Here is a 20,157-nt window from a genome sequence, read left to right on the forward strand (position 1 = left end):
GCCCCGGGTGAGGGTTGAGGGGTGGAAGGTGCCTACTAGCCGGTGCAGGTTTCTTCTAGCGCGTGTGCTGGGGTACCTGGTCGTCATGGAGGCGGTATTGACCGAAGAGCTTGATGAGGAAGAGCAGCTGCTGAGAAGGCATCGCAAAGAGAAGAAGGAGTTGCAAGGTGAGGCGGAAGGAAGTGGGAATCTGGAAGCCGCCGCGACTGGGGGAAGGGCGCGTGGCGGGTCGATTCTGGGGAATCTCAAGGCGTGACTTATCTGGATCACCCTAGACTTCCCCTAGTAGCAAGTGGCCTCTTCTCTCTTCACCTACCCCGGCGGCCCTTTAATTCCCCAACCTTCAGAGGCTTCCCCTTCTGAGGCCTGCGGCGTGCCCCCTACCCCGCGCCGCCGCCGGGGTGCAGGTGTCTGAAAATACCTAGAAGCCGCCGTCTTGGTCCGCTCCCAAACCCACGATGCCTCCCTTTTCTATACCTGCCCCAGTTACCGATACTTGTCCCTAATGGGTGTATTTTGAATGGACCCGCCTCAGTTTAGGAGGTTCAGAAAGGATACCGGAAAGATTTAAAACTGGCTACAGTCAGGTTTTTTTCCTTCTCTTATCTCGCCAAACAACCGAAACATATTCAAGATTTTGTTAATGAAGTTTTTTTTTTTTTTGGTCTCAGCTTTATCTGGGATCTTCTCTCTCTGTAGCTGCCTGTTACGTGATGACTCTTTCTTCCATAATTACTTTTTCTGTACCCTTCGCCCGTTACCATCCCCTTATTGGTTCCTGTTTCTCATCTCCTTTTACTCCTGCGTGTCTGACTTAATGATTTTAATGGCTTTTCAGCCAAAATTCAGGGCATGAAGAATGCTGTTCCCAAGAATGACAAGAAGAGGAGGAAGCAACTCACCGAAGATGTGGCCAAGTTGGAAAAAGAAATGGAACAGAAACATAGAGAGGAACTGGAGCAATTGAAGCTGACTACTAAGGAGAATAAGGTATGTGAAATAAATGTTTGTCGTTGCCTACACCATTTGAAAACAGCTGTCCACTTCTGTTAAATGTTAAACTGCTTTTTTTTTTTTTTTTGAGACGGTGTCTCGCTTTGCAAAACACGCTCAATCTTGGCTCACTGCAAGCTCCGCCTCCCGGGTTCAGGCCATTCTCCTGCCTCAGCCTCCCGAGTAGCTGGTACTACGGGCGCCCGCCACTACGCCCGGCTAATTTTTTGTATTTTTAGTAGAGACAGGGTTTCACCATGTTAGCCAAGACGGTGTCGATCTCCTGACCTTGTGATCCACCCGCCTCGGCCTCCCAAAGTGCTGGGATTACAGGCGTGAGCCACCGTGCCCGGCCCTGTTAAACTGTTTATTATCTAAAATCATAAAATTGGTAGGGAAATGAAATCACTTAGTTATGCTCATGCATCACTTCTCATTAATGTTTTTGTGACCAAGTTTACAGGGCAGTGTGTTTCTATAAGGGAGATCGGCAAAGAAAGTGCTATACTTCTTTACCTATTTACTTGCCCAAAAGATGAAGCTTCACCAAATCAAAGTTGGAAGACCAGGCATCTGATCCCAGAATTGCGACTGAATGGGATTGTAACCTGAGCAAGGTTACTTAATCTTTCTGAGCTCAAATTTTCCCACATATATAATACGATACAAATATTTCTACACTCTAAGCACAGGTTTTTGTAAGAATCAAGAAAGTGAACGTGAAGTCATTTTTGTTATAAAAGTGCTTTATTAACAAGTTGTAATGAATGAAATTTTACTGATGTTTCTTGGGTAAGTTGGAGCATCCTAACTTTCATAATTTTAACTAATATTTATTTTATCGTTGGATCTAATATATATGTGTCAAATACTTTGGTTTATATGTATTATCTCATTTAACCTCAGTAACACACTGTGAGGTATTACCTATGAAGTAAGTATACATAATCCCATTTTTCAAGTGGGAAACAGGGTTAGAGAGATTAAGAACTTTGTCCAGGAGTCGTAACAGCTGTTGATTGCCAAAGCCAGAATTCCAAATGAGAACTATCTTACTCCAGGAAGTGAATACTGAATTCTGTTACAGCTTTGTATAGTGTGGTATTTATTGTATGGGTTTTGGATATGAAGGGTCATATAGACCCCACAACCTCACTCCATCTTTGATAGAAAGTTCTTATGTCTATGTAAAATCTTAATCTGCCATACTTAAATTTTGGTTGATTTTTGGTTTGCTGTTGACAAGTACAGCTTGTCTGTGCTTTTTATAATGGTCCTTACATTAAATATAGTCTAAATTTCTTTAACTTTGTTAGTTATCAAGTTCCCAACTTTCCTTGCCTTTAATGTACTTCATCTCCAGGTAACAAGGCATATATGATACTCCAGGCGTTAAATTGTGTTGTGACAATTGTGTTCCTAATTGTCTCCCCATCTTTTCTATTAATGAGATAGTTTTGTTTGCTCCCTCAGACCTTTCCATTTTGAGGTTTCTTTCCCAGGTTTCCAAGGACAAAAATGTTTGATTCATAAGCTACATGGAGTCCTACTGTTAAAACACAAACTCCCATTTTAGTTTGAACTATTTATCTGTTTCATTAATTTAAATTGGTTTTCTTTTCTGAATACTACCAAAAACTAATGCCATTGCTTTTTTGTTTTTCAGATGCATCTCTTTTATCTTGCCTATTGTCAATATAGATGTTTGTAAATTTTAACAGCTTCCTCTGAAGAATCACAGGACTCCTAATTTCACTATAGTTGATAGCCACTCTTTGAAGTCTCTATCTGATTTTGATATTTTGATCATTTGGGACACAGCCTTTGCAGACTTCTGTCTCTGTGTATTAAAGGCCTTGAGTTGTTCTATGCATGTGTTATACTAAAAACTGGCTTACCTTAGAGTTGCAGTAATAATGGCTACTCATCCTTATAGTTAAAAGTCTAGCATCTTTTTTTTTACTCTAGCAAACACACACTAGCCATTTAGGATTGATTATAATATCAAATGATATTACAAATTAAATATATTTTCTGCCTGCAGTTATCAGTTTGTAGATGGAAAAGGGTAGGGTAGGAAAAGCTCAACTTGCTACTAGGGTCAAGGATTAGTACTCATCAGGTTCTGGCTAATTAAGATGGAAAAAGGCCTCTGCTGCCAGTAGAGGTTATGCAGGTAATAATGAACTGAGCCAGCACAGGACCTTTATCTTATATGTACTGGCAGTAGTCAGAGAAAAGAAGAGTGGAGTGCTAAATGAGTTGGCGCTTACAGGAAGTACAGTACTGCATTTAGATTAATGGAGTAGGCATTCTAAGAAGGAAGGAAAGCATGCAGGGATGAGCATGATCTTTGAAAGAAACTTCTTGGGAACTTGTCAAATTCTTCCATAAAAATAGAAACAGGAGACAAAACCATATTATCTAATACAGTGTCTATTGCTGTTACTCAAATTTGAAATGTGGGATTAGATATATTTATGATTTTCAGTAATTTAATAAGTACATTGACTTGTTAATGCTTTTTGTTTCCTTCAGATAGATTCTGTTGCTGTTAACATTTCAAACTTGGTGCTTGAGAATCAGCCACCTCGGATATCAAAAGCACAAAAGAGACGGGTATGAAAGTCATGTCACCAAGTATATAAGTTAGTGCTGTGTGTTCAATACTATCTTAGGTACTATCTTAGGTCTTGTTATAGGAAGAGAATGAAAAAAAAATGATGCAGTTCCTTGTCTAGGCACTTGAACTAACATTTATTAAGCACCTGCTGTGTGTCACATACTATGCTAAGCTGCTTATATGACATCTCATTTAGTCCTGACAATAATCCTGTGAAGTAGGATTTCTTATCCCCATTTTATGGAGAAGAAAATGATCCTAAGATAATATAAAATAACGTATTCAGGTTGCAGCTCTCATAGGAGAGCGAAGCTGGGAGTGGGAGTGCAAAGTAGTTTTTTTTACAAATATATTATCCCAGACTTAAAAATTCAGAATGTGGGCCCAGGGGATTCTGATGCACAACCCTAGCCAAGAACTATACCATTGGGTGAGAAATAAGGATTTGAACCTAGAAGTTAACATGTGTAGGTATACAAAATTCTTAGAGAATTATGTAGGTATCTATATAATGGTTAATTATGAAAATTTAGAGAAGGGAAAGTTCATTATGCTAATAATGGGTTGGAATTTGAAAGAAATATTATTTAGATAGGATATTCCAAATAGGAGGAGCAGCATGCACAAAAACAAATGTGGGGGTGATATATTGCATTATTGAAGAGCTATAAGGAAACTGATTTATTGGAAGTAGCTAGTTCATATCAGCATTATGGAAATGAGATTAGATAGGTAAGTCCCTTTGAATTTGAAAAAGAAAAATGATTAAATTCAGTCTTTTTAGTTGCGAGTATTATTTTATTAACACTTGATGTTTTCTATGGTTTAAATGCATATTTTTAAATTCATTTTGCATCTTATGACATAGTATGTAATTTAGTAGAGCATGGAGTTTAGTGTCAAACAGATGAGGTTTTAATTTCATTTACTGTTATACTTTGGGTACGGTTCTTCTTTAAGCCTCAGTTTCACATCTATAAAACGGGGGCAAATTATAGCTACTTCATAAGCTAATTCATTGTGAATATTAAATACTGTACTATTTCCAAAGCCTTTAACACAAGGCCTGGAGAACTAATGGGTCAACAAATGATAGTATTGTTTCTATATTAAGTAGTGTATAGTATGCCTCTTAAAAATGTAACCTAAAAGCAATGTCTTTTTCTGTGTTAAGTAGTGCATACTATGCCTCTTAAAAAATTAAACCTAAAAGCAATGTCTTTTTTTGTTTGCAAGCTGATGAAATGCACATAGTCCAACATTTCTCATTCTTGTGTAGAATTTTATTTTTGAGTAAATATAATTGTGAATTTTGTAGATTCATAAAATTTAGATCTCATGGAATCTTGGAGATTGTCTGCTTAGGATATGCATTCTTTTGTGATGATCTCACAATTGTCTAGCTTCTATAGATCAAAAAGGAAGGGCAGAATTTTTGCATGCCAGTAGCATAACAAAACATTGGAATTACGTCTACTTAGTAATTGAAACATCTTATAATAGCCTATTTAATTCTGGAAAACCTAAGGGCACAAGTTCTTCCTATCTTTATCAAAACTTGTTCCTCCCCAGCTGGACCTCTAACAACAAAACAAACAAAACGAAAACTCCCTTACCTTTCTCAAAAATTTTGTTACTTTTTCCCTAAGATACTGCACAACTGGAATTAATACTTTTGTCAGTTATACTCTCAAACCATTTAGTATCTTTTATAGTCAGCTGCTTTAACACTTGGTAGAAAAAATGCCCAAGTAATGTTTTTACAGGGTTATATTAATGGGATTTTAGAACAGAAAACATTAAACGTTTATAATGCTTAAGAAAATGGAACCTGAAGTCAGGATGCACAATCGGGTGTTAGATTATTTGGAACCTCCTTTTTGCTAGAAGCACCAAGGAATGCAAAGTCATTTAATTAATGATGTTTATCTTTGGGAAGGATACAACTCTGGAAGAAAAACGTGATAAAACTTTGTCAAGATTTATTTTAAGAATATCGTGGAATATTGTAGAGCATATCTCTTATTTTTAGTCTAGAAAAACAGTATTTTATTCAAAGAACTTACAAACTTTTTGATATGAGAGAAAGAGTCTAAAATAGAACTTAGAAGAGCTGGGTTTCAAAAATATGGAATTTGAGGGCTGGAATGAGATTGAATTCAATTTCTGTATTTTCCAATGAGAAAGCAGAGACCCAAGTTATCTCAATTGTACACTAAAAGTTTGATACAAACCCAGGACTGGTGTCCAGCTCTTAATATTCCCTTTGAATCTTCTTTGTTATATTACTATATCAACATGACTGTAGTTTTATTGACAATATATTTATGATTTACATGCTATTTTCATCTTTTATACGTTTTTATTAGAACTTATTAGTGCCATTCTATCTCCACTACTATAGCTGTAGAAACCAAAGTGCCTAGTGCTCTTGGGAAACTATATATTGCTGGAAAAAGAATTCAGTGGATTTCTTACCTAGTGCCCTGAAAAGGAAACTCAATTGCTTTGTTCTAATGAAGCAAAGCATGAAGGGAAAAAAATGAAATGATTAGAATTAGTATTTTAGAGGCTTAAACAGTTTTGCAGATAAGATAAAGTGCCACTCTTTCAGTAAATAGTACATGACATCATTAACTCCAGCTCCCATCTGCTCCAACTTTTATTCTGATTCAGGTGCCTGGATAGAAGGAGCTCTCTGTGTTGTCCTTGGTCCCTGCTCTGCTCTTACCAGCTGTATGGCCTTTGGAAATCTTTCTGCGTGCTGTTTCCTCAGAAGAGGAAAATGAGGGGTTTTGGATTAGATGATATCTAAGGTGCTTATTCTTCCTTTCCCCTCTGAAACTTTTTTAGTCTTTTATAAAGTAATAGTGCCATCTTGTGTTTTAAGATATTATGCCTCTGTGATCCACAGTTCTAGGTACACAGTGAAATAAATTTGTTCCTATTACTTATACAAACCTTAAATAGGCTATGTTTTATTAGGGAGATATTACTGCTTTTGATTCAGGTAACTTAGAAATCACTTTAGGTTCATCTAGCATGGCACATAACAGGCAAGTAGTACAGGTACATGACAATAAGTTTAATTGAAACTTGCCTTCCCATTCACTTTTGTTCCAAGGAGAAATCAGAGCTAGTGTTATGGAAGTCTTTACCTTTTCCTATTCTTGGCTTACCAAATCCTTCACTGTAACTTATTAATGTCAAAATTTATATAACTTAGTTTTTATTCTTAAATTATAAAGCAGTTTCCGCTTGAGTGTACAAACAAAATATATGATAGAGAATTAGAAAGATGCAGAAAAACATACAGACATACACACACATACACATACACACACCCCAAAATAAAACTTATTTTGGAATCCCGTCATCCAGAAAAAAGCACTATAAATACTTTGTGTATATTGTAGTTTCTTTTTAGTCCTATGTTAAGTATAGACCTACTGTATATTAATTATATGCCTATGCTTTTTGCCTCCAATTTCATCTCTTGACAGTTTTCTCTGGCACTGTAGCTCTAGGAACTGTTTTTAGCTATGAAACATATAGTGCTTTCTGGCTTTTGATCATTACTAGTCCATCTGTTAGGAATTTTTTTTCCTTTCTTCTTCCCCAACCTTCCCTATACACCTCCTGTCTATTCTTCATGTCACAAATCTCTCATTTCCGTCACCCCACTCCATCCTTGCATATGTTTCCATGGGAGGAGCTTATCAGACATTTGCATAAGGAAAGCAAATTGTAGAATGTAACATATGATACCATTTTTATTAAGAATTTATACATATTTTCAAGAGTATACCATATTTATTAAAATGAATGGAAAAACAATCTAGAAGGATGCATACCAAACCTCTAGAGCAAGCACTGGGATGGCAGTGGTGTTATGGGGAGCTTGAGTCTCTCTCTTATATTTTAATTTTTTTTTTACAAAATATTTGTTAATTAAATGTATGTGTATACAGACATTTTAAAAAGCTTGATAAAAAGGGTGTCTGCCTGTACCCTTTTAAAGGCTGTGTCATATTAACACGTTACTGGTGGACTGATAAGAAGCCTGGATTAGCCTGGGCTTTAATATAATAATAATGTGCTTTAAGGCCTAGGATAACTCAGTCTTAAGAGAATACTTTGAAATCAGTAAGTAAGGTTTTTAGAAACTTGGCATGTAGCCTTTAAGTAGACTTTAAAGAAAAATTAGAGGGCTTTCTTAATGTCCAGTATAGAGCAAGGTGCTGGAAACACACAGATGAGTAAGAGAGTAAGGAGCTCACCTTGTAGAAAATTCTTGAGATGATCAATGTGATAGTGTTTGTGCGAGAAGGGAGAATAAACACCGGAAAGTTTTGAGACCTTTACATTTCCCTTCCCTTAATAAATGAGAATTAGTCCAAATTATTATGAATTAACTTTCATGCATTCTGCTTTTCTTAGGAAAAGAAAGCTGCATTGGAAAAGGAGCGAGAAGAACGGATAGCTGAAGCTGAAATTGAAAACTTAACAGGAGCCAGACATATGGAAAGTGAGAAACTTGCTCAAATATTGGCAGCTAGACAGTTAGAAATTAAACAGATTCCATCTGATGGCCACTGTATGTATAAAGCCATTGAAGATCAACTGAAAGAAAAGGATTGTGCTCTGACTGTGGTTGCCTTGAGAAGTCAGACCGCTGAGTATATGCAAAGCCATGTGGAAGACTTTCTGCCATTTTTAACAAACCCTAATACAGGAGATATGTATACTCCAGGTAATTTATTTTTCTTTACTATGTTTTATTGTTGCTTTGTTGTAGTTGTTTTTAAATAAGGTGCTTCCCAGCACTGAGCGTAAGAAGAACCCAGATGATCCTTATGAGGAAAAAACATCACAAGATTTAGGCAGAATTATTTTCTGTAATTTTAATAGATGTTGGTGTATTTTTCTCTATTAAGATTTCTTAATTACTTAGTTATTTTGTAATTATAATATGCTAATCATTTTATGTAAGATAGAAGTAGGAATAAGAGTCATTTTTGAAAAAAATGTAAGTTCTTATTTGACAAAGTGAAGTATTGAGGAAGGTAAGCTTCAGGAAGTATATATAGGGTCTGAAGACCATAAGGAGAGAATGACTAGGAAAACCATTTCCTGCTTTTATCTTATAATTTGGGAACTTTACTTTTATTTACAATAAGCTATAATTAGGAAGATTAGTGTTCAAGTAAAACAAATGGGTTAATAACCTGCTTTATTCTATACAATACTATCACAGTTAAGATAAAATATTTATGAGGAAGTAAAAAAGTACACAACTAGCAGATGAGGAAGAGAGCAAGTAAAAATCTGAATAGGTTTTGGGGTAGTAATGAATGGAATAGAGGACTATTAGTCCTTGAGAGAATATGGCAGGTTTGGCAGTATCCATTGTTCCCACAAGTCATATGGCCAGAATGGGTTGCAGAGAGAAAGGTTAAAATTGACTTTCCTTTAGTGGAGTCTGTCCTCCATGGAGGAAAGGTAGAGAGTGATGCAGAATTGATAAGAATGAGCATTGGCAGTCAAGTGTGTCTCCTTTAGTGTGCATGGCTTAAGGTATCTGTTGATAGATTTCAAGAATGACTTAAGCATAATCTAATTCTGTAGTGAATTAATTTCCCATAGATGTCATATTGGAAATGTTAACTTATCTCTTGCTGTTTTAGGTCATTGCTGTTTTCTACATAAACAGAATTTGCTATGGGACATAAAACACATTTTTCCATATATTTTGATATATGCATAGGCAATGTGATAAATGACTCTTCTGTCATTTATCTCCCAAATGATTACTGAATCATTGAAACTCCCCAATTGCGCTAGTTGTAGGGCATAGAGGAGGTGGCAGTTCAGTATGCTGAGTCAGAGAAAAACACAAAAGACTTAATTAATTATCTCCATTTATTCAACCAATATTAATTGAAGGCCGCTGTGTGCCAAGCACTACTCTAGGCACTGTTCTGAACGCTGAGGATTTAACAGGGTATGAGACAAACACATGAGACATATTTTTCTTCTAGATGTCCATAATTTCTTTCCTTCCATCTCTGTAGTAAGGATAATTGTTTTCCATTTTAACATACTGTGTAAAAAGGTGTATGCACAAAATATACCCATTGTAAATTTAGTGATTAGGTCTTTTATTTCTCAGGGCTGATGTGAAAAGCCTTTTCCTTGGTTAGAACTGATACTTATGCAAGTAATGTAAGTGCTTCCAAAATAACAAGTGGAGGCACTGTTTGACGCTATCTCTGGGGAAGGAATTTCAATTCATCTGTACTTTTACTCGAATTCTCTTCGTATATTTCCCAGAGTCTTACAGTAAACCTGATTATACAGGAACTACATTTTTTTTGTCTTTCATGGTATTCCTTTGGATGCAGGTTTGGGCTTCAAAACACATGTCAAGATAGTGAATATGGTGGCAATTTTTGGGGTCAACGCTTGGGGTAGAGTGAGGTAGGTTTGTTATATAGGGAGGGTATCTGGGCCTCCAACAGAAGAAGAAAAGCAGAAATGGACTGCTTTGTTCTTGGATGGAAATGTGGTAGAAAGTTGGGGTGAATTAAGTTTGGACCTGGGAGTTAGATTAGATTCTGGAGGATAATGGTAGAGAAGGAGAATGTTCATAACTTGGGCATTTTTGTCAGGAATTGTGGGAACTATAAAAGGGATTTTGTAACATGAGTTACAAAAATTATTAAGTGCTGTATTCTGACCTAATCTCTACAGAAGAATTTCAGAAGTACTGTGAAGATATTGTAAACACAGCTGCATGGGGAGGTCAGCTTGAGGTAAGTTTGTAGTTATTCATAGTGATTGTGGGTTGTTAAATTATTTCTAAATCCCTTCTGTAGTTTTTAGATGTTTCTCAGCTGATCCCAATTTCTCTTTGAAGATTCCTTTTCTTTATATATTTGCTCTTCTCAACTGACAAAGAAATAGGGAGTTAACATGATTAGGTCTGTGATTAAAGTATGTATGTTGAGGGATTGAAACACTATTACATTTTAAATAGCTCAGTGTTAGATCTGTGTGTTAGAAATACATATGTGTAAGTCTTTTCATCGTGATAGTAGTATTGGCAATACATTTGATTTTCTGGACTTAGGAAAATGAAAATTTTACTGAAGTAAAGTAAAATTTAGCCTAGTAGCTCAGCTGATCAAAGTCACTATTGGAAAAATATCTTTTTTACATCAGAAATGGAAAAAAAAAATTATGTGAAATTATAGGCCAAATCCTACCACAACATATATATTAAAATCGTATTTTGAATTCCTAATTGATAGTGACTGACTTACTTGAAAGCAGTAGTTGGTGCATTAAATTCATATGTAAGAAAACAGTATGTTCAGTCACTTACAGGAAGTTATCAAGATTACTTTTTAGCTCTAATTTTAAAAAAATCTTACTGTTAACTTTGTTTTGTTAAAAACAAACAAACAAACAAAAAAAACAGGTAGGTAGGCCAGATGGTGATGAAGCAGCCTGGGTATTAAATAGGATAAGAAAGAAAGTTCTGGGTTCAGGTCCTGGCATTTTCTTCCACCCCTCTGTTTTGTGGCCACAGGGGAGTCAGCCATCCTCCCAAGCTTGAGTTTCTTGATTACTATATGGCCATAATAAACCCTCTCTGTGTATTCAGTTGAGCATTTTTGAGCATTAAGTAAGGCAGAGAGTACCTGCATAAAAGTTTGTAAGCTGAAGTGCCAGATGGATGAACCTAGGCAGTACGATTAGTAATATATAATGATGATTAATCATCATGAATAGTCTGTGGCTCTAAATAATTCACTTTAAGAACTGCTTCATTTGAAGATGCAACATGAATGTTGCCCCAAAATCTTTTTCTTAGTACTGCTGTGTATGTGCATTTCCACCAGAGGGAACTGTATCCATTAGTTTTGTATGCCTCGGAAACTCAGGAAATGTTCATAGTAGCTTTGTTACTACTACATTAGGAATAATTAAAAATGCTTGAACTTTCTTAAAAGGATCATTCATATGAGTATTAGAGATTAAATCAAGAAATTAAGAAAAACCTTTTAAAACATCTTTTGAGGGACACTTATACATTTTTTTCATCTGTGAATTCATTTGAAGTAAGAGTTGCAGTTTTCACAATAGAGTAAATTTAAGTTATTAAAGAAAATCATTCTATGATCTCTGAAGTTAGAAGGCATAGTAGGATTCCCAGAGTTTGGTTCGCATCCTCTATTCTATGCTAGTTTCTTAAAAATGATATTTTAGGTATAAGAAAAATGTACCTCAAAGGAACGTTTTTGATTTACCACCATGCAGCAGAGTGCTTTCCATATTTTTGAAGTAATTTCTTAAATTCTTTCAAAACCTCAGGAAGGAGTATGTTCATCAATGGAATGTTCTTGTAATGGGGCAAGTACATATCCCATAGTGCCCCCATAGATCGGGGCATTATGATTTTTACTTTCTTTTTGAGACAGAGTCTCACTCTGTCACCCAGGCTGGAGTGCAGTGGTGCCACCCATCATTGTTCACTACAGTCTCAATCTTCTAGGCTTAAGCTTTCCTCCCACTCCTGAGTAGCTGCACCACCATGCCTGGCTAATTTTTGTATTTTTTGTAGAAACGGGGTCTCCCTGTGTTGCCCAGGCTGGTCTCGAACGCCTGAGTTCAAGTGACTTTGACAAGTCTTGTAACCCTTTTTTTGCCTCAGATTCTAGGTCTTTAAAATAACGACAGTACCCATCCCATAAAGTTATTGAGAGGATTAAAGGAATTAATACACATAAAGTACTTAAAATGCTTGAGTGTTTGGTCATATGTCTTTTTTTTTTTTTTTTTTTTTTTTGAAACAGGGTCTCACTCTGTCACCCCAGTTGGAGTACAGTGGCGTGATCTTGGCTCACTGCAACCTCTGCCTCCCGGGCTCAAGTGATCCATCATGCCTGGTTAATTTTTGTATTTTTTTGTAGAGACATGGTTTTACCATGTTGCCCAGTCTGGTCTCGAATGCCTGGACTCAAGGTATCTGCCTACCTTGGCCTCCCAAAGTGCTGGAATTATGGGTGTGAGCCACTGTGCCTGGCCCGTAATCATAATAAGTCTTTAAAAATGTTAGCATTAATGTTCAATATTCACCATTATTCATCTGGCTTTAGGCTCTAATTTTATATTGTATGGTATGAAATTACTTAAAATTGTATATTTTAATCAAATAGAAATTCATTGATAGGGCAGTACAATTCATATACATATTCTACTCTTTGAAAATTATAGAACAGTGGTTGTCAACAGTATTTGTAGATTAGAATCATCTGAAAAACTTTAAAAAAATAAATATTTTGTTCTTCCCCCTGCCCATTTTCTCACATTGTAATTTATTTGGTCCGGTGCTTGAGCAATGGTATTTAAAAATTTTTTTTGTTATGAACATTTTCAAGCGTATTCAAAAGTAGACTAGTATAATATACCTAGTCTACCCATTGCCCCTCTTCATTAACTGTGGCATTGATATTTTTTACAAAGCTTTTGTGCAGGCAGGGCTTGAGCAGTCTCTGCATTTGATTTAATAAATACAAGTTGAGCATCCCTAATCTGAAAATTTGAAATTCGAAATGCTCCCAAATCAAATTTTTTGAGGGCTGACATCACAAGTGGAAAATTCTACACTTGACTTTATGTGACAGGTCACAGTTCAAACTTAGTTTCATGCACAAAGTTATTTAAAATGTATAAAATTACCTTCATGGTGTGTGTGTAAGATATGTATGAAACATGAATGAATTTTGTGTTTAGATTTGAGTCCCATCCTCAAGATATCTCATGTAGTATATGCAAATACTCCCAAATCTGAAAAATTCAAAAACTAAAACAATTCTGGTTCCAGGCATTTAGGATAAGGGATATTCAACCTGTATTATATTTATTTATTCAACAGATATTTATTAAGTGCCCAGTATATACCAGGCTCTCTGTGTACAGTGGTGAACACAGCGTATCCCTGCTCTGACTGGTTGCCCGTTCACACATATTTGAATGTGATTTACATTTTTATTTTCCTTACTGATACTTTTTTTCTTCCTATAGCTAAGAGCTCTGTCTCACATTTTACAAACACCAATAGAGATAATACAGGCAGATTCTCCTCCCATTATAGTTGGTGAAGAATATTCAAAAAAACCACTAATACTTGTGTAAGTACCTAGACATTTTTACTGTTTTATTTTTCACAATTAATACAAAAAGGAATATTAAAAAATTTAGATTATATGTGTTAAAATATGTGACTTAGATAATTTTTTAAACCTCTAGCGATTTATTTTTGTGTGTGAGTTTAGAATAAAGTCATTTCTAAAGGTTATAACATTTTAGGACTAGTTTGTATACTGTCCTGGTTTGACATTAGTAATGCTAAAAGTTTCAACAAGTGTTAAAAGTTGAAATACATTCATGTTGCCTGTTTATTCCTTAGATTTATTTTTCTTCATTTTATGAAAATATCTTACATGATTTAGAAATCTCTTCTGAAATACAGCATGCAGGGTTTGCTATTGGCTTTAGTATTTTTTAGCTAAACCTATTAAGATAGTCATCAATGGCTAGATGACAATTTAAGCTGATTGAACCTTCAGCATCTCAGCCTTTTCGTTTTACCCCAGTGATTGAACCAGATCTTGCTGACTGCTGCCACTTTTCAAATGGTGTTGAACTCTTAATTAATATGTCCACATAGTCTATTGAGTGAAACCCATGTGGACTGAGTCATTCAGAATCATTGGTTTATATATATATATAATAAGCATATATATATAGAAAAATTGCTTTCATCAAAACTACTCATTTCTTTTTTTTTTTAATTTCAGATATATGAGACATGCATATGGCTTAGGAGAACATTATAATTCGGTTACACGGTTGGTAAACATAGTTACTGAAAATTGCAGCTAATTTATACAATGTTGTACAATTATGTTTTAATACAGTGTGCTGAACTGAGTATTTCTACCAAGTGTTGGGTTGTTCTAAATGCTACTGAAAAACACAACTACCTTATATCAGTTTTATGGCAAAGCTACTAACAGGTGTTTTTAGAAATATGTCAGAGATAAACTTTAACCAGTGTCTTCTTAGTGGAATTTTAAAAATTTGTTAAGTTCATTGTAGAGAACACCATTCATAGACCAAGATGGTCCCCTATTAGCTGATATTTTCATTTATGTAAGATCCTGGACATTCTGTTTTGTGTTGGAACAAATTTTCAATGTTTTTAATTCTCCCTTTTCTGCCTGTTCCTAAAAACTTTCAAAATAACCATTTCAATGTAATTTGTCTTGAAGAAGTTTACCCAATATCTTTGTCATTGCAATAATGTAGTATGGTGATGGTCAATTTAATTATTGCTTATAAAATGAACTTGATTGCAGTAACCATGGTATCGATGAGACTAATGCAGTGAAGCTTTATTACTAATATATATAGCCTTATCAAAGCAAGCTAAGAAGCTTGCTTTAATAATTAATAATTTAAAAATATTTATTTAGATGGGATTCAGTTGTTTAAAGAAGTGAGATAAATTCAAAGGTAAATAGGTATTCTCTGTCAAATTTAAATCTCTAAAGAATTAGAGATTAGTTTTTTATTTGTGTATAATTTAAAAAAGACCTAATAGGTTACTGTCTTTTTAATGCATTTGTTATTCTTTCGTATTTTTTAAGCATCGGACTGGAGTTAGTACCATCATCTCTTGAGTCTTTCATAACTACACATTTTTATATTTCCTTTTGTGTTTTCTACTTTGCTTTCCTTGAAGGAACAAGCATTTTGTGGCCTTTACCTTGTGCAATTTTAGGGAGTAGCAGTGTAAAAGGTCCAAGACCACATTTACTTGAAATTCTTCCTCTTTTCTGATTTGTCTTACCAGATATTTCCCTTCTTGCCTCATTCTCTAGGATTTGAATAAAACCTTTGCCACTTATTTTATTAGCCTTATTAATGTCACCTTTCCTTCAACTCAAATATTTGAGAAATTTTATGTTACATATATGAATGAAGTTGAAAGCTACTGTTTGGAAGCTAAGACTTGTATAGAGTAGTTTTGTATATGAATGGTTGTTCTAGCTCAGATTTCAGGTTACTCACAACAGTATTCTTTCTAAGAGGATATATACAAATGTCTCTCATAATTTATGTAAGGAAATATTATGAAAATGAGACTTTTTTAGTTTGATGTGTGTTTCCCAAACTAGAGATAAAACTAGTAAGATTTAGTATCGTTTATAACATTTGAATTTTTGCTCCATGAGTACAACTAATTTTTATAAGTAAATATTGGGTTTATATGAAAAATGGGGTGTCAGTCTTTTCACACGCCCAGCAGGTAACAATGTGGGAAGCTGGCAGGGTCATTGATAGCAAGTAAGTACTTCCTGAAGGCTTTCCAGTTCAAAAGATTACAAGCCATTCTGCCTGCCAAACAAATTATATTCTGAAGATGCCTGTTTTGTAACCCTTGATGTGAATTTTTTGGTGTCTGAAATTTACAAAAGAATGAAATTGAAATTGTAAAACACTAAATGCTTTGGGTTTATTTTGAAGTAATCTGTTACTTTAAAATGTCAACATTAGGAAGCCATAAAACAAGATATTATGAAACCCAGTATTATAAATGTTATCTACATCTAAAGTATTTTAAAATAACTTATTGGCAGCTTTATTCTTTTTTTCCTTACAAGATTTAGAATCTTTTTGGTTATATGTCTATTTTTCAATTTTGTTATATTTTTAATTTAAGTGGCCAATGTGGTTATGAACAAGATTTGTATGGTCAGCTTCTGTTCTTTCCTAAAACTTCAGATAAATATCATTTTAGCTATAACCTAAAAAAGTGTTTAAATAAAATGACAGATGTTAATTTAAAAGCAGCATATGCTAATTTACTTTTTCATATGATGATGGTCTAATGGAAGTTACATATGCTTTCTTTTGTCCTAACTCTGAAAAGTATATGTCAGAGTTCTGGAATATGTCTTTAGCCAAGAATTTTATTCACTTAAATTTGTTTACAACTTGTATAAAGCAAAAAAGAATGTGTGTAACTATAGTGAACGCATAGTTTTGCTTATATTATGTGATGTTTGCCAAAAAAAGAATAAAAAATGAATGAATTAAATCAACATTTATTTGCTTGAATTGTCATTCTTTAACAATTCAAGAATTTAGAAGTGGAGAAAACTCCTTTTGCTTTGTATCCAGCCTTTACTTTGTCTTCACACACAGATTCTTACATTTTAAGGGATTTTGAATAAATATATGAGCATAGCTTATGCCCCAGAAGTAGAGGGAAATAAAGTAATAGCCATTTAAGCTATAGCTCTTAGAAATCAGGTACAATCTTAGAACCTTTTAGAATAATGAATGTTTATTTAGGGTAAGTGAATTTGAAAAATATTTTAAGACCCATAGATGTTAAAATAAAGAATAAACATTTGTGTGCAAGAATGTGGAGCAGTAAGAAGGAAGTTTGTACAAATTAATGTTTTCACACAATTGTTAATATAGTGCCTTCTTGGTACAGGTTCTTATGAAGTAGCTGAAGGACTAGATCAGTTGATCTTCTGAGAATTTATTTGGTGATTTCATGCTTTTTTTTTTTAAACTTTTATCGAACAGATGAAATTTTTCTCTGCCTGTTCTGTTACCTCATACATTGATTGTTTCCTCCTGTCTTAAGTCTTTATCTTAGAGCTCATGAGGTTTTAATTCTTAACACATGGGTCTTTTAACCCACCATTGTTCTCTCCCACTTGAGGTCTTGGAACTACCATTCAGAATTGAATGTTTCACCCAACCTGCTTTATCCAGCTTCCTTGTCTTTCTAGTCTCAGTTTACATATTGATAGTACCTTCTGAGACAACCCTCCTCAGACTCCTCCCAATCTTGTTTCTTTCTAATACGTACACACTTGTAATCACTTACTTGAATTTAGTTGTTTTTCATCTATTTTTTTCCATACTGTGTTAAGAGCTTAGAAACAAGAATTTCTTGTTCACTGCTCTTAAAATACTTAGCACATTGCCTGGCCTGTCTGCATTGCGTGCTTAAAAAATGTTTGTTGACAGACTATCAGTTGAGAGGATAGGATATGAGTAAGAAGTTGCATTAGGTTAACAGACTGCTGGGAATAGAGAGATGGATATGATTTAGAATTGTGCTTGCTCGCAAAAGGCCTGCTTTTTAATTTACCTTGCCCTTGGATGAATTCTTCAAGTCTTTTGGTCAGTTGAAGGGAGAAAGGGAACCCAACAGAGCTTTCATTTTTCTTAACTTCCAAAAGTAATGTTTCAGCTAATTTACCTTCATATACCAATTAGGGTAATGTCTGATTTTAATAAATCTACACAAATATAAGAATCCTATAAAATAAGTGTACAGTTAGAAAAAAATTAAAACCTTTTTTAATATACTGACCATGAAGAAGTTTTATAGTTGTCTTATTTCAGTATAATCAGGATGACTAGTATGACATACTGGAACAAATTGCTGCCTTTCTATAAGGCTGCTGAATTTTTATTTCCGTGAATAGGGATGATATATAATCTAGCTCTTGTTTGTCACTCTTGTATTGACAAAAAGTCTTATTTATTGTTTATAATTTTAACCAAATATAGGATTAACATGGGGATCAATAACTTCAGTGCATGAGTTGATGAACAAAAATAATGACCTCACTTTAAAAAGTAAATTACATGAGTTTTTAAAATTTTTCATTTCATTTTATTTCTTAATTTTCTATTTTAGATTTAAAGGGTACATGTGCAGGTTTGTTACATGGGTATATTTTATAATGCTGGAATGTGTGTTTTTATAGAATCTGTCACCTAAATAGTGAACATTGTACCCAATAGGTAGTTTATCAACCTCCCCTACCCTTTTGGAGTCCCCACTGTCTGTTATTTCCATCTTTATGTCCATGTGTATCCATTGTTTAGCTCTCATTTTATAAGCGAGAACATGTGGTATTTGATTTTCTGTTTCTGTGTTAATTCACTTAGATAATGGCTTCTAGCTACGTCCATGTTGCTGCAAAGGACATGATTTCATTCTTTTTTATAGCTGCATAGTATTCCATGGTGTCTATGTACCACATTTTCTTTAATCTACCAGTGATAGGCACTTAGGTTGATTCCATGACTTTGCTATTGTGAATAGTGCTTTGATAAACATGAGTGTAGATGTTTTTTTGATAGAATGATTTCTTTTCCTTTGGGTAGATAACCAGTAGTGGGATTGCTGGATTGAATGGTAGTTACATCTTTAATTCTTTGGGAAATCTCCATACTGTTTTCCACAGGGGTTGAACTAATTTACATTCTCACCAACAATGTATAAGTGTTCCCTTTTCTCCATATCCTTGGCAATTTCTGTTAATTTTTGGCTTTTTAATAATACCCATTCTGACTGGTGTGAGATGGTACCTCATTGTGGTTTTAATTTGCAGTAAGTAAGGGTTTTTTTCACTTTGCCAAATCCTGATGGAAAAATTGCTGTTTTTGAATCAGGCATTTCCCCCACCCCCCACCCACCCCTACTCTTGTGACTGACATTGGAAAGGCCTGATATACCTAGATCAGAGATTTTCATCAGTGGCACTATTAACATTTTGAGTTGGATAATTCTTTGTTGTGGCATTGTAAGATGTTTAGCAGCAGCATCTCCTTTCTAAGTACCTGTATCATCCCCCTCCAAAGTTGTAAGAACAAAAAATGTCTCCCTGGGAACAAAATTGCCCCCAGTTGAGAACCACTTACTAAATCATAAGTTTTATTGCTAATGAGGTTGGAAAGTTCTAAAGAAAACCATTTAGATCACAAATTGGACACATTAGGCAGTTAGTCATCTACTTTACATGACTTTAGCAACTGCCTAATGCCAGACTTACATGAATCCCCTTTGAAAAAGCTGAATGGACCTTAACTTTTTTTCCTTTCTCTTCATATTCTTAACCACTAAAATGTGTTTATTTGGCTTTTGGGATTACTGGTGGTAGCATTCAGGATAGACTAAGTTGTGCTATGGTAACAACTCAAAAATCTTGGAGTCACATAACAACATGGGAGTGTTTCTTGTATTGTTACATTTTGCAAGTTGGGTGAGGGCCCTGCTCCATGATTTTGTACTGTAGGACCCAAACTATTCAAGCTGTCACCATCTTAAACTTTATTAGAAGAGAGCATTCTGGAGGATCTCCCTCCAGCAAGTAAATTCTGTGGCTTAGCAGAAACACATCTCATTTCCATTCATTGTCGGAATTAGTCACATGGCTTCACCTAAGTAGGAAAGTGCCCAGAAGTGCAGTCCTACCCTGTGTTCTGAAGGCAGGGAGCTGGAATATTTGGTGAACATTACTAAGCATTATTACATGTACTGGAAATCGTGGTCTTTGGGTTCAGACTTATCATTTCAGTCTTGACCCTGGCGCTTATTGACTAACCTTTCAGAGCTCCTGTTTACTTATATAAAATAGGAATAATAATGT

The 20,157-nt window shown here is 34.8% G+C and overlaps 1 protein-coding gene across 5 annotated transcripts, besides 1 other annotated feature; it reads left to right on the forward strand.

Moving 5' to 3' along the window:
• OTUD6B (OTU deubiquitinase 6B) lies at positions 45-16,794 on the forward strand. 5 transcript variants are annotated; one of them, NM_001286745.3, is made up of 8 exons: positions 45-167; positions 839-990; positions 3,532-3,612; positions 6,293-6,432; positions 8,057-8,369; positions 10,370-10,431; positions 13,709-13,815; positions 14,485-16,794. In NM_001286745.3, exons 4-8 carry the CDS (start codon positions 6,421-6,423, stop codon positions 14,567-14,569), a joined length of 579 nt encoding a protein of 192 aa, NP_001273674.1. In that variant the 5' UTR covers positions 45-167; positions 839-990; positions 3,532-3,612; positions 6,293-6,420; the 3' UTR covers positions 14,570-16,794. The 5 variants fall into 5 exon arrangements, with proteins under 5 accessions (NP_001273674.1, NP_057107.4, NP_001402951.1 ...); NM_016023.5 differs by lacking the exon at positions 6,293-6,432; XM_011517129.3 differs by lacking the exon at positions 45-167 and having other exon boundaries at positions 901-990; positions 3,536-3,612.
• Positions 93-272: an enhancer, noted in NCBI's record as "active region_27614". NCBI's record gives its function as "activates an Ori minimal core promoter by ATAC-STARR-seq in GM12878 lymphoblastoid cells {active_cell/tissue: GM12878}" and the evidence as "EXISTENCE:reporter gene assay evidence [ECO:0000049][PMID:35858748]".
• Positions 16,795-20,157: the final 3,363 nt, after the last annotated feature.

Source organism: Homo sapiens, chromosome 8 (genome assembly GCF_000001405.40).
Source record: "Homo sapiens chromosome 8, GRCh38.p14 Primary Assembly".
Lineage (NCBI taxonomy): Eukaryota > Metazoa > Chordata > Mammalia > Primates > Hominidae > Homo > Homo sapiens.